The sequence below is a fragment of the Homo sapiens genome, chromosome 19 (genome assembly GCF_000001405.40).
Source record: "Homo sapiens chromosome 19, GRCh38.p14 Primary Assembly".
In the NCBI taxonomy this organism is placed as follows: domain Eukaryota; kingdom Metazoa; phylum Chordata; class Mammalia; order Primates; family Hominidae; genus Homo; species Homo sapiens.
The window spans coordinates 32,837,565-32,851,816 of record NC_000019.10 but is presented as its reverse complement, the minus strand read 5'-3'; the positions used below and the strand labels follow the sequence as shown (position 1 = coordinate 32,851,816).

The following is a 14,252-nucleotide window of genomic DNA, read 5'->3' as shown; positions in this document are numbered from 1 at the left end:
TATGTGCCACATTTTCTTAATCCAGTCTATTGTTGTTGGACATTTGGGTTGGTTCCAAGTCTTTGCTATTGTGAATAGTGCCACAATAAACATACGTGTGCATGTGCCTTTATAGCAGCATGATTTATAATCCTTTGGGTATATACCCAGTAATGCGATGGCTGGGTCAAATGGTATTTCTAGTTCTAGATTCCTAAGGAATCGCCACACTGACTTCCACAATGGTTGAACTAGTTTACAGTCCCACCAACAGTGTAAAAGTGTTCCTATTTCTCCACATCCTCTCCAGCACCTGTTGTTTCCTGACTTTTTAATGATCGCCATTCTAACTGGTGTGAGATGGTATCTCATTGTGGTTTTGATTTGCATTTCTCTGATGGCCAGTGATGATGAGCATTTTTTCATGTGTCTTTTGGCTGCATAAATGTCTTCTTTTGAGAAGTGTCTGTTTATATCCTTTGCCCACTTTTTGATGGGGTTGTTTTTTTCTTGTAAATTTGTTTGAGTTCATTGTAGATTCTGGATATTAGCCCTTTGTCAGATGAGTAGGTTGCGAAAATTTTCTCCCATTTTGTAGGTTGCCTGTTCACTCTGATGGTAGTTGCTTTTGCTGTGCAGAAGCTCTTTAGTTTAATTAGATCCCATTTGTCAATTTTGGCTTTTGTTGCCATTGCTTTTGGTGTTTTAGACATTAAGTCCTTGCCCATGCCTATGTCCTGAATGTTATTGCCTAGGTTTTCTTCTAGGGTTTTTATGGTTTTAGGTCTAACATGTAAGTCTTTAATCCATCTTGAATTAATTTTTGTATAAGGTGTAAGGAAGGGATCCAGTTTCAGCTTTCTACATATGGCTAGCCAGTTTTCCCAGGACCATTTATTAAATAGGGAATCCTTTCCCCATTGCTTGTTTTTGTCAGGTTTGTCAAAGATCAGATGGTTGTAGATATGCAGCATTATTTCTGAGGGCTCTGTTCTGTTCCATTGATGTATCTCTCTGTTTTGGTACCAGTACCATGCTGTTTTGGTTACTGTAGCCTTGTAGTATAGTTTGAAGTCAGGTAGAGTGATGCCTCCAGCTTTGTTCTTTTGGCTTAGGATTGACTTGGCAATGCAGGCTCTTTTTTGGTTTCATATGAACTTTAGTTTTTTCCAATTCTGTGAAGAAAGTCATTGGTAGCTTGATGGGGATGGCACTGAATCTATAAATTACCTTGGGCAGTATGGCCATTTTCACAATATTGATTCTTCCTACCCATGAGCATGGAATGTTCTTCCATTTGTTTGTATCCTCTTTAATTTCATTGAGCAGTGGTTTGTAGTTCTCCTTGAAGAGGTCCTTCACATCCCTTGTAAGTTGGATTCCTAGGTATTTTATTCTCTTTGAAGCAATTGTGAATGGGAGTTCACTCATGATTTGGCTCTCTGTCTGTTATTGGTGTATAAGAATGCTTGTGATTTTTGTACATTGATTTTGTATCCTGAGACTTTGCTGAAGTTGCTTATCAGCTTAAGGAGATTTTGGGCTGAGACAATGGGGTTATCTAGATATACAATCATGTCATCTGCAAACAGGGACAATTTGACTTCCTCTTTTCCTAATTGAATATCTTTTATTTCCTTCTCCTGCCTAATTGCCCTGGCCAGAACTTCCAACACTATGTTGAATAGGAATGGTGAGAGAGGGCACCCCTGTCTTGTGCCAGTTTTCAAAGGGAATGCTTCCAGTTTTTGCCCATTCAGTATGATATTGGCTGTGGGTGTGTCATAGATAGCTCTTATTATTTTGAGATACGTCCCATCAATACCTAATTTATTGAGAGTTTTTAGCATGAAGGGTTGTTGAATTTTGTCAAAGGCCTTTTCTGCATCTATTGAGATAATCACGTGGTTTTTGTCTTTGGTTCTGTTTATATGCTGGATTACATTTATTGATTTGCGAATGTTGAACCAGCCTTGCATCCCAGGGATGAAGCCCACTTGATCATGGTGGATAAGCTTTTTGATGTGCTGCTGGATTCGGTTTGCCAGTATTTTATTGAGGATTTTTGCATCAATGTTCATCAAGGATATTGGTCTAAAATTCTCTTTTTTGGTTGTGTCTCTGCCAGGCTTTGGTATCAGGATGATGCTGGCCTCATAAAATGAGTTAGGGAGGATTCCCTCTTTTTCTATTGATTGGAATAGTTTCAGAAGGAATGGTACCAGCTCCTCCTTGTACCTCTGGTAGAATTCGGCTGTGAATCCATCTGGTCCTGGACTTTTTTTGGTTGGTAAGCTATTGATTATTGCCACAATTTCAGAGCCTGTTATTGGTCTATTCAGAGATTCAACTTCTTCCTGGTTTAGTCTTGGGAGGGTGTATGTGTCCAGGAATTTATCCATTTCTTCTAGATTTTCTAGTTTATTTGCATAGAGGTGTTTGTAGTATTCTCTGATGGTAGTTTGTATTTCTGTGGGATCGGTGGTGATATCCCCTTTATCATTTTTTATTGTGTCTATTTGATTCTTATCTCTTTTCTTCTTTGTCTTGCTAGCAGTCTATCAATTTTGTTGATCCTTTCAAAAAACCAGCTCCTGGATTCATTAATTTTTTGAAGGGTTTTTTGTGTCTCTATTTCCTTCAGTTCTGCTCTGGTTTTAGTTATTTCTTGCCTTCTGCTAGCTTTTGAATGTGTTTGCTCTTGCTTTTCTAGTTCTTTTAATTGTGATGTTAGGTTGTCAATTTTGGATCTTTCCTGCTTTCTCTTGTGGGCATTTAGTGCTATAAATTTCCCTCTACACACTGCTTTGAATGTGTCCCAGAGATTCTGGTATGTTGTGTCTTTGTTCTCGTTGGTTTCAAAGAACATCTTTATTTCTGCCTTCATTTAGTTATGTACCCAGTAGTCATTCAGGAGCAGGTTGTTCAGTTTCCATGTAGTTGAGCTGTTTTGAGTGAGATTCTTAATCCTGAGTTCTAGTTTGATTGCACTGTGGTCTGAGAGACAGTTTGTTATAATTTCTGTCCTTTTACATTTGCTGAGGAGTGCTTTACTTCCAACTATGTGGTCAATTTTGGAATAGGTGTGGTGTGGTGCTGAAAAAAATGTATGTTCTGTTGATTTGGGGTGGAGAGTTCTGTAGATGTCTATTAGGTCCACTTGGTGCAGAGCTGAGTTCAATTCCTGGGTATTCTTGTTAACTTTCTGTCTTGTTGATCTGTCTAATGTTGACAGTGGGGTGTTAAAGTCTCCCATTATTATTGTGTGGGAGTCTAAGTCTCTTTGTAGGTCACTAAGGACTTGCTTTATGAATCTGGGTGCTCCTGTTATTGGGTGCATATATATTTAGGATAATTAGCTTTTCTTGTTGAATTGATCCCTTTACCATTATGTAATGGCCTTGTCTCTTTTGATCTTTGTTGGTTTAAAGTCTGTTTTATCAGAGACTAGGATTGCAACCCCTGCCTTTTTTTGTTTTCCATTTGCTTGGTAGATCTTCCTCCATCCCTTTATTTTGAGCCTATGAGTGTCTCTGCATGTGAGATAGGTTTCCTGAATACAGCACACTGATGGGTCTTGACTCTTTATCCAATTTGCCAGTCTGTGTCTTTTAATTGCAGCATTTAGCCCATTTACATTTAAAGTTAATATTGTTATGTGTGAATTTGGTCCTGTCATTATGATGTTAGCTGGTTATTTTGCTCGTTAGTTGATGCAGTTTCTTCCTAGCCTTGATGGTCTTTACATTTTGGCATGTTTTTGCAGTGGCTGGTACCGGTTGTTCCTTTCCATGTTTAGTGCTTCCTTCAGGAGCTCTTTTAGGGCAGGCCTGGTGGTGACAAAATCTCTCAGCATTTGCTTGTCTGTAAAGTATTTTATTTCTCCTTCACTTATGAAGCTTAGCTTGGGTGGGTACGAAATTCTGGGTTGAAAATTCTTTTCTTTAAGAATGCTGAATGTTGGCCCCCACTCTCTTCTGGCTTGTAGAGTTTCTGCCAAGAGATCCGCTGTTAGTCTGACCGGCTTCCCTTTGTGGGTAACCCAGCCTTTCTCTCTGGCTGCCCTTAGCATTTTTTCCTTCATTTCAACTTTGGTGAATCTGACAATTATGTGTCTTGGAGTTGCCCTTCTCGAGGAGTATCTTTGTGGCATTCTCTGTATTTCCTGAATCTGAATATTGGCCTGCCTTGCTAGATTGGGGAAGTTCTCCTGGATAATACCCTGCAGAGTGTTTTCCAACTTGGTTCCATTCTCCCCGTTACTTTCAGGTACACCAATCAGACGTAGATTTGGTCTTTTCACATAGTCCCATATTTCTTGGAGGCTTTGTTCATTTCTTTTTATTCTTTTTTCTCTAAACTTCCCTTCTCGCTTCATTTCATTCATTTCATCTTCCATTACTGATACCGTTTCTTCCAGTTGATCGCATCGGCTCCTGAGGCTTCTGCATTCTTCACGTAGTTCTCGAGCCTTGGCTTTCAGCTCCATCAGCTCCTTTAAGGACTTCTCTGCATTGGTTATTGTAGTTATCCATTTGTCTAATTTTTTTTCAAAGTTTCTAACTTCTTTGCCATTGGTTTGAATTTCCTCCTGTAGCTCGGAGTAGTTGGACCGTCTGAAGCCTTCTTCTCTCAACTCGTCAAAGTCATTCTCTGTCCAGCTTTGTTCCATTGCTGGTGAGGGAGCTGCATTCCTTTGGAAGAGGAGAGGCACTCTGCTTTTTAGAGTTTCCAGTTTTTCTGCTCTGTTTTTTCCCCATCTTTGTGGTTTATCTACTTTTGGTCTTTGATGATGGTGATGTACAGATGGGTTTTTGGTGTGGATGTCCTTTCTGTTTGTTAGTTTTCCTTCTAACAGACAGGACCCTCAGCTGCAGGTCTGCTGGAGTTTTCTAGAGGTCTACTCCAGACCCTTTTTGCCTGGGTGTCAGCAGCAGTGGCTGCAGAACAGCAGTGGCTGTAGAACAGCGGATTTTGGTGACCTGCAAATGCTGCTGCCTGATTGTTCCTCTGGAATTTTTGTCTCAGAGGAGTACCCGGCCATGTGAGGTGTCAGTCTGCCCCTACTGGGGGGTTGCCTCCCAGTTAGGCTGCTGGGGGGTCAGGGACCCATTTGAGGAGGCAGTCTGCCCATTCTCAGATCTCCAGCTGTGTGCTGGGAGAACCACAACTCTCTTCAAAGCTGTCAGATAGGGACATTTAAGTCTGCAGAGGTTACTGCTGTCTTTTTGTCTGTCTGTGCCCTGCCCCCAGAGGTGGAGCCTACAGAGGCAGGCAGGCCTCCTTGAGCTGTGGTGGGCTCCACCCAGTTCGAGCTTCCTGGCTGCTTTGTTTACCTAATCAAGCCTGGGCAATGGCAGGCGCCCCTCCCCCAGCCTCGCTGCCGCCTTGCAGTTTGATCTCAGACTGCTGTGCTAGCCATCAGTGAGACTCTGTGGGCGTAGGACCCTCCGAGCCAGGTGCGGGATATAATCTCCTGGTGCACCGTTTTTTAAGCCCGTTGGAAAAGCGCAGTATTAGGGTGGGAGTGACCCAATTTTCCAGGTGCCGTCTGTCACCCCTTTCTTTGACTAGGAAAGGGAACTCCCTGACCCCTTGTGCTTCCCGAGTGAGGCAATGCCTTGCCCTGCTTCGGCTCATGCACGGTGTGCTGCACCCACTGTCCTGCGCCCACTGTCTGGCACTCCCTAGTGAGATGAACCTGGTACCTCAGATGGAAATGCAGAAATCACCCGTCTTCTGCGTTGCTCACGCTGGGAGCTGTAGACCGGAGCTGTTCCTATTCGGCTATCTTGGCTCCATGCCCCCATCAATTCTTATTTATTTATCTTTTTGAGACAGAGTCTCACTCTGTCATCCAGGCTAGAGTACAGTGGTGCAATCTCGGCTCACTGCAACTTCTGCCTCCTAGGTTCAAGTGATTCTCCTGCCTCAGCCTCCCAAGTAGATGGGATTATAGGCACCTGCCATCACACCTAATTTTTGTGTTTTTAGGAGAGAGGGGGTTTCACTATGTTGGCCAGGCTGGTCTCGAACTCCTGACCTCAAGTGATCCACCCGCCTCGGCCTCCCGAAGTCCTGGGATTACAGGCATGAACCACTGTGCCTGGCCTCAATTCTTTAGAAGTTTGAAAATGACCTTCGTGGCTCACTGATATTTTTATGTTTCCTGTGGTCTTGAAGATAATGTGTATTCCATAATTATATCTAGATTTTTATATGATCATCAAGATTATAACTTGTAATGTTCAAATCTTGTGCTCAAATTGGATTTGCCAATTTTTGTCTGCTATGTTTCAAGGGCTCCTGGGTTTTTTTGTTTGTTTGGTTTTGTTTGAGACAGAGTCTTGTTCTGTCGCTCAGGCTGGAGTCTGGAGTGCAATGGTGAGATCTCGGCTCACTGCAACCTCCGCTTCCCAGGTTCAAGTGATTCTCCTGCCTCAGCCTCAGCCTCAGCTGAGGTTACAGGTGCCCGCCACCACACCTGGCTAATTTTTGTATTTTTAGTAAAGACGGGGTTTCCCCATGTTGGTTAGGCTGGTCTTGAACTCCTGAACTCAAGCAGTCCACCTGTCTCGGCCTCCCAAAGTGCTGGGAGTATAGGCGACAGCCACCATGCCCAGCTCAGGCTCCTGTTTTTTATATCTTCTCCTCTTATTTATTTTTATTTTTTTGAGATAGAATCTCACTCTGTCACCCAGGCTGGAGTACAGTGGCACAATCTTGGCTTACTGCAACCTCTGCCTCCCGGGTTCAAGCGATTCTCCTGCCTCAGCCTCCTAAGCAGCTCAGAGTACAGGCGCCCACCACCATGCCCAGCTGATTTTTTGTATTTTTAGTAGAGATGGGGTTTCACCATGTTGGCCAGACTGGTCTTGAACTTCTAATCTCATGATCCGCCTGCCTCGGGCTCCCAAATTGCTGGGATTACAGGTGTAAGCCATCACATCTGGCTTTTTTTTTTTTTTTTTTTTTTTTTTGAGATGGATTCTCACTCTGTCGTCCAGGCTGGAGTCTGGAGTGCAATGGTGCGATCTTAGCTGCAATGGTGCGATCTCAGCTCACCGCAACCTCTGCCTCCCAGGTTCCAGCGATTCTCCTGCCTCAGCCCCCTGAGTAGCTGGGACTACAGGTGTGCACCACCATGCCCAGCTAATTTTTCATATTTTTAGTAGACATAGGGTTTCACCACGTTGGCCAGACTGGTCTCGAACTCCTGACTTCAGGCGATCCACCTGCCTCAGTCTCCCAGTGCTGGGATTACAGGTGTGAGCCACTGTGCCTGGCCGAAATTTTTAATTATGGTAACTTTTTCAAGAAATTCTGGTTAGCCAGAGGATACCAGAGGCTGAAAAGCATGGGGGGAAAGGGAGATAGAGAGAGACTTGCTAAAGGATACAAAATTACAGCTAGACAGGAGGAACAGGTTCTAGTGTTCTACACACAGCAGGGTGGCTAGAGCTCACATTAATATTAATATGTAGCTTCAGATAGCTAGGGGAGGATATTGAATGTTCCCAACACAAATAAATGGTACATTTAAAAAATTTTTAAAGTTATTTGTAGAGATGGGATCTCACTATGTTGCCAGGCTGGTCTCCAACTCCTGGGCTCAAGTGATCCTCTGCCTTGGCCTCCCAAGGTGTTGGGATTACAGGCGTGAGCCACCACACCTAGTCTCTCAGTGCGTTTAACCTCCTCACTCACTCTGCCAAAACCCACTCGTCTCCCGAAGACAGACCCCCATCTGAAGCTCAGGTCCCTGCTCAGCTCCCTTCCTGAGCCTCCCGAGGGCTCCTTGGTGGACCCCGGAGCACAAGTCCTCAGTGGCCCTGGACAGATGGTCTGCACTCTGGTCAGCGGACTCCCGTGTCGTTATTTTCCAGACTCATTTACGTGGCGGGCCGGGAGGGTCACATGCTCAAAGTGCTTTCTTACATCAGCGTCAGGCGCCTCACTCCAGCCCCCGCCATCATCTTTTATGTGAGTACAAATCCCGCTACCAGCCTATCTTCAAGGCGGGGACACTCCATCCATGGGGTGCTAAGCCCGGCGGCTTCCAAATGACCCAGATGCCCTTATTCCTTGCTATGAAACAGATATAGAAAGAGTCCCAGGACAAGTGAAACAACATACCCAATATCTGCTCCTTTGTCTGAATTTATCCACGAAAGACAGTGTATGCCCTCAATGCTTCTGTGTGCATTTGTCTGTGCTGGGTCCCTGGTAACAAACTCTATATAAAAGCCCACTAGCTTACAGGGAAGGAGAGCAAGACATTTTCCCAGGTAGTTACTGACAGCTGCCTCTCATTATGCTCTAATGATTAAGAAGTCACCGGATCCTTGTGCAGTAAACGCCCTTTGACTTTTTTTTTGATACGGAGTCTTGCTCTGTCACCCAGGCTGGATGGAGTGCAGTGCCATGATCTTGGCTCACTGCATCCTCCGCCTCCCAGGTTCAAATGATTCTCCTGCCTCAGCCTTCCGAGTAGCTGGGATTGAAGGGGCCTGCCATCACGCCTGGCTACTTTTTGTATTTTTAGTAGAGATGGGGTTTCACCATGCTGGCCAGGCTGGTCTTGAACTCCTGGCCTCAAGTGATTTGCCCACCCCAGCCTCCCAAACTGCTGGATTACAAGCATGAGCCACCGTGCCTGGCCACCCCTTTGACATCTGCCCATGGGAGCTTCTCCATGGTGCATGGTTCTTGTTTTGTGCAACTGTTCTGGGCACTGATAAACCATCCACATTTCTAGCCCCAGGGGTGGTCTACACTCCTTCCCCCAGAGGAGAACCACTACTCTCTATCATTCTGAAGACAGGAAAACACACCCAGGAAATACCAGTCCAGGGCCACACAACTAACACAGGCCAAGACTAGACCTGAGCTTCTAATCCAGGGCCCCAGCCCACATTGAAAACTCTCTGTGTGGAAAATTCTTAATTATGAAGCTGGTATAATATTCATACATATTAGGTTGGTGCAAAAGTAATTGCGGTTTTTTACCATTAAAACCGTGAGATGGCGAAACCCCATCTCACTAAAAATACAAAAATTAGCCGGGTGTGGTGGTGCCTGCCTATAATCTCAGCTACTCAGGAGGCCGAGGCAGGAGAATCGCTTGAACTTGGGAGGCGGAGGTTGCAGTCAACCGAGATCACGCCACTGCATTCGAGCCTGGGTGACAGAGTGAGACTCCATCTCAAACAAAACAAAACAAAACAAAACAAAACAAAAAAACCCACAGTTACTTTTGCACCAACCTAATATTTTATTTTTCCCTTGCTTAAAATCACAACCTCAAAGATTCAGAAATTTCCCAGGTCTTTTCTGCAAGCTTCATAGAGAAGAGCTATCATAGCCAAAGTCAGGTTTAACCCCAACTATGAAGGAATGCCTAGAAGTTCGTTTCATGCTAAAGTGTTTATTCACAAGAAAAACTGCTTCTTCGGTCTTCTGTGACATGAGAACAGTGTTTTGTAGTAATGACCTACAAATCCATTCTTCTTTCTATTAGGGTATCATAGCAACGATTTATATCATCCCTGGTGACATAAACTCGTTAGTCAATTATTTCAGCTTTGCCGCATGGCTGTTTTATGGCCTGACGATTCTAGGACTCATCGTGATGAGATTTACAAGGAAAGAGCTGGAAAGGCCTATCAAGGTAAGCTTGCAGCCCCAGAGTCACGAGTGGCTTTGGATTTTTTAATGAATTAGATGTAACTCTTTCAAATGCTAGGGGCATGCCTTCTAGTTCCAATCTGACTTGACTCTTTTAAAATATCGTATTTTAGAGTGGAGTTTACTCTTCACAGCATAGTTTATGATCCAGTTAGCCACCTTGTTATTCATTTTATTAAGTCATCACGAATACCTGTGGCCCGTCTCTGTAACCAAAGAGGTCCACCTGGCTCTCATTTGTTTTGAGGCAGAGTCTCACTTTGTCGCCTGGGCTGGAGTGCAGTGGCGCATCCTTGGCTCACTGCAGCCTCTGCCTCCCCGGTTCAGGCAACTCTCCTGCTTCAGCTTCCCAAGTTGCTGGGATTACAGACATCTGCCATCACGCCTGGCTAATTTTTGTATTTTTAGTAGAGATGGGGTTTTACCATGTTGGCCGGGCTGGTCTCTAACTCCTGACCTCAAGTGATCTGCCTGCCTTGGCTTCCCAAAGTGCTGGGATTACAGGTGTCAGCTACTGCACCCAGCCCAGTTCTGATATCTCTCGCACATATATTTTTCATAGATTTTTCTTGTTTCATTTTTTTTTCTTTGGAGACAGGGTCTCACTGTGTTGCCTAGGCTGGTCACAAACTCCTGGGCTCAAGCGATCCTCCCACCTTGGCTTCCCAAAGTCCTGGGATTACAGGTGTGAGCCACTATGCCGGCCTCCTTTCATAGACTGATGGGAACTTCTGAACTCCAGCCGCAGACTCATTGCTGTGCATGCAACCACTCAGAGTCTATTCTTGCCATCTGTTTCGGGCTCCCTCTCACTCCCTGCATGGCTGGTGTGGATCTATATACCAATAAGGATGAAGTAGAATTTTATTGTTGTTATGTTAAGGGGCTTTAAAAAAAACCTGCTATTTAATTCTTATGATAACAGACATAAGAAAAAGGTAAGCTGAGGGCTTAAGTAACTAGGACGAGAATAAGGACAATGTCTTTAGCTTTAGGACTTTGTTTTCAGAGATACATCCAGTGGTCTTTCTGGCCCTGTGTCTTGACTATGGACAAGTCTCTGGCATCAGCTGAGTCATGGCACAGCCTGCCTGGAGTCTGGCAGATCCACCTTGGTTAAGTCATTGCAGGCAAAATTATGACGGTAGCATAGACTTGTAATCTGCACAAAATCCCTCATAGAAACAGACAGAGCCTCTAGGATACCAAAGGAAAACACTTCAGCCAACATTGTCAACACAAATCAAGGAAATGAAGTCTTACCACCAACTCCAGACTCTAAGTGGATGCCCCACTGGACTCCAGCACCATGTGTTCCCAGGAGAGAGGGCGCACGTGGAACGAGGTTCTCAGTGGGAAGATCAGAGGACCCCCAGGGGAGGTGGAGGAGCAGGGCTGCAGTGGCTTAAGCCCTTGAGGATCCCAGAAACTCCCCACAAAAACTCCTTTCCAGAAGGATAAGGATCACTGACGACAACAGCAAGAGAAACAACTGCTGGGAGAGAAAGGACATGGAACTTGGCAAGAATATCAGGGTCAAGGAGCTGGAGCCTGTGGATACAAATCTCTCAACTGGGAAGGGGCTCCACAGAGAGGCCATGTCCCATTAGCACTTCAAAACATCATTTTAGGGAAAAAAATCATTTCAGAAATAAAGAGTGGGCAAGAAGGAAAAGAAGGAACACAGAGGCTGAGTGTGGTGGCTCACACCTGTAATCCCAGTACTTTGGGAGGCCAAGGGAGGAAGATCACTTGATCCCAGGAGTTCAAGACCAGCTTGGGCAACAGCAAGACCCTGTCTCTACAAAAAGATAGCTGGGTGTGGTGGTGCACGCCTATAGTCCCAGCTATTTGGGAGGCTGAGGTGGGAGGAATGCTTGAGCCCAGGAGGTCAAGGCTGCAGTGAGCCAAGATCGTGCCACTGCACTCCAGCCTGGGCAACAGAGAGGGACCCCGTTGCAAAGAAAAAAAGAAAAGAAAGAACATAAGAGCAAAGAAACATGCTAGGAAACAGAAGGCCAAAAGGAAGAAAACAAATATCAGACAGAAGTAGAAAGGGTTTGAGAGAAAACAAGGGGACAGAAAAAAACTAGGGGTGGGGAAGGTGGGGAATCTAATACATGCATAATTGGAGTCCCTGAAGAAGAAAATGCAAGTAACAGAATCCCAAAATCCATAATTCAAGAAACATTTCCTGGGGTGGGAGGAAAAATGGAGGGTGATCTTGAACCAACATACTGAAAGGCATACAATGTAACTGGAAATTTTGAGCTAAAATTGGCAGCAAAAATATATGCTGATAAAATTACAGAGCTTTAAAAAAATGCTTTGGGCATCCCCTCCCCTTTTCCTGTTCCCACTCCCATCTGCAATTCACTTATAAAGGAAAGGAAATAATTCTGGCCTCAAACTTTTCACCACCAACACTTCATGCTGCAAGAGAGTGGAGCAACATATTTAAACTACTCAAAGGAGGAAAATGTAAGCCAGATTCTTATACCCAGCCAAACTGACCTTGCAGAATAAAGTCTACAGTCACTAGTATGAAAGAACTCAAGGCAAATATCCTTACACGAGACTTTTTTTTTTTTTTTTTTTGAGACGGAGTGTCACTCTGTCATCCAGGCTGGAATGCAGTGGCGCCATCTCAGCTCACTGTAACCTCCGCCTCCTGGGTTCAAGCAATTCTCCTGTGTCAGCCTTCTAAGTAGCTGGGATTATAGGCGCGTGCCACCACGCCTGGCTAATTTTTATATTTTTAGTAGAGACAGGGTTTCACCATGTTGGTCAGGCTGGTCTCGAACTCCTGACTTTGTGATCCACCCACTTCAGCCTTCCAAAGTGCTGGGATTACAGGTGTGAGCCACCGTGCCCCGCCAATTACATGAGACCTTGAGGAATCACCCAGAGAATGAGCTTCAGAAACCAAAAAGTCACTGGCAAAGGTGAATATATCAAATTATAGAACTAAGATTAATGATGAGAGATAAAGGGGACAGAAGTGTATGCCACTATTATGCACTGGCAATATCATACAAAAACATGGACGAGAGAAAGCACATGGAAAAGTATATGCCAACTGAGGAAAGTATGCCAGACAAGCTGCCAATAAGGAAGCCACTTTAAATTAGATGCTGGGAGGAAGAGAACACCTAGCTAACTTCATTATTGCTTATTATACACAATGTCTAAAAAAAGAAGAAACTAAGGGTATTATATGCTCAGTTAATAATATAATTCATATCTTTAAAAGGGGACTAAGGGCATTATACATAATATATACATATATGTGTACTATATATGTGTATAATGTATAATATATGTAATATATGTGTATAATAGATATATATGTATATATTTGTATATGTATATATGTGCATATATGTATATATGTATATGTGTATCATTACATGTCTGTTATACATACAAATACATATACATATAAGTACATATATACATATATAATATCTTTAAAAGGGGACTAAGGGTATTATATAAGGATATAAGATATAAATATGTTGTATATAAGTATATATTATAGGTATATGTATAATATACGTTTTTATATACACATGATATGTATATATACATAATATATAACATATATACAACAAATATATATAGCATTAAATATATGTATATTATGCCTATTATATATGTATAGATTGTGCCTATTAGATATAATATATTCTTATATAATATACACATATATTATACAGAATATATCCTTATATAATAATGCCCTTAGTCCCCTTTAAAATATATTAGTTATAATATATTAGCTATAATAGTTACAGTAACTCTCAGAACAAAAACACATCCTTCATACCTACCAAAAGACACATTAAAAAAGAGGAAGTGTGCTTAGAATACATGAAATAATTAAAATTTAACATTTAAACAAAGGAGGGAAACAAAACAGACCATACTGTAAAGGACCCTACCTATAAAGCCTTGTTTATATTAAGCGGCCTTTTATTTTACTTCCTGTTTGTCCACTACAAGTTTGGATGGGCTCAGAAAATCTCAAGTAAGTACCAACAGAAGGGCCGCTTGGCTTCTGTGAGGTGCAGGCAGGCACGGCGTCCTCACCTGTCCTGACTCCAAGACCTCTGTCACAGTGTCTCACCCTGCTGGCAGATCTCCCTCAGAATACCTTCCTGGTTGATGTTTTCTTGTAGACTGCTTATTAGGATTTTTTGTCATTGCTATTTTTTGCTTATTAGCTTTTAACACCCTGAACTATAGAATCCATGCATCTCTAAATGCTTTCATTTCCAGCTGATATTTATATGGAAAAATCAGTATCTGAATCCCCAAAATGTAGTATAAACTTTTGACAAAATGTGTGATAAAAGTTTCAAGTTACATTCCAAATTCAACACACATCAAAATCACGTGTAGGCGTACTGAAAGCCACGTGTAGGCGTACTGACAGTGTGAGGTGTAAGCGTCTCACGTCTTGCGAGACCATGTTATTGCATTAAAGGCAGTCATTGGTCAACAACCATGTTAACTGTTTGGTCACCAAAAATTATTTTAAACACAGTTTACCATCTAATGTAATCTGTGTTGGGTAACATGTT

General features: G+C 43.1%; 1 protein-coding gene across 6 annotated transcripts in view; it reads left to right on the top strand.

Annotated features, from left to right (window-relative positions):
- The window catches only part of SLC7A9 (solute carrier family 7 member 9), a 39,257-nt gene that overhangs the window by 17,951 nt on the left and 7,054 nt on the right, over positions 1 to 14,252 (top strand). For all 6 annotated transcript variants that reach the window (NM_001126335.2, NM_014270.5, XM_011526402.4 and 3 more), the window contains 2 exons: positions 7,866 to 7,962; positions 9,500 to 9,649. In NM_001126335.2, the coding sequence (NP_001119807.1) occupies positions 7,866 to 7,962; positions 9,500 to 9,649 (247 nt within the window). The remainder of the gene's footprint in view (positions 1 to 7,865; positions 7,963 to 9,499; positions 9,650 to 14,252) is intronic.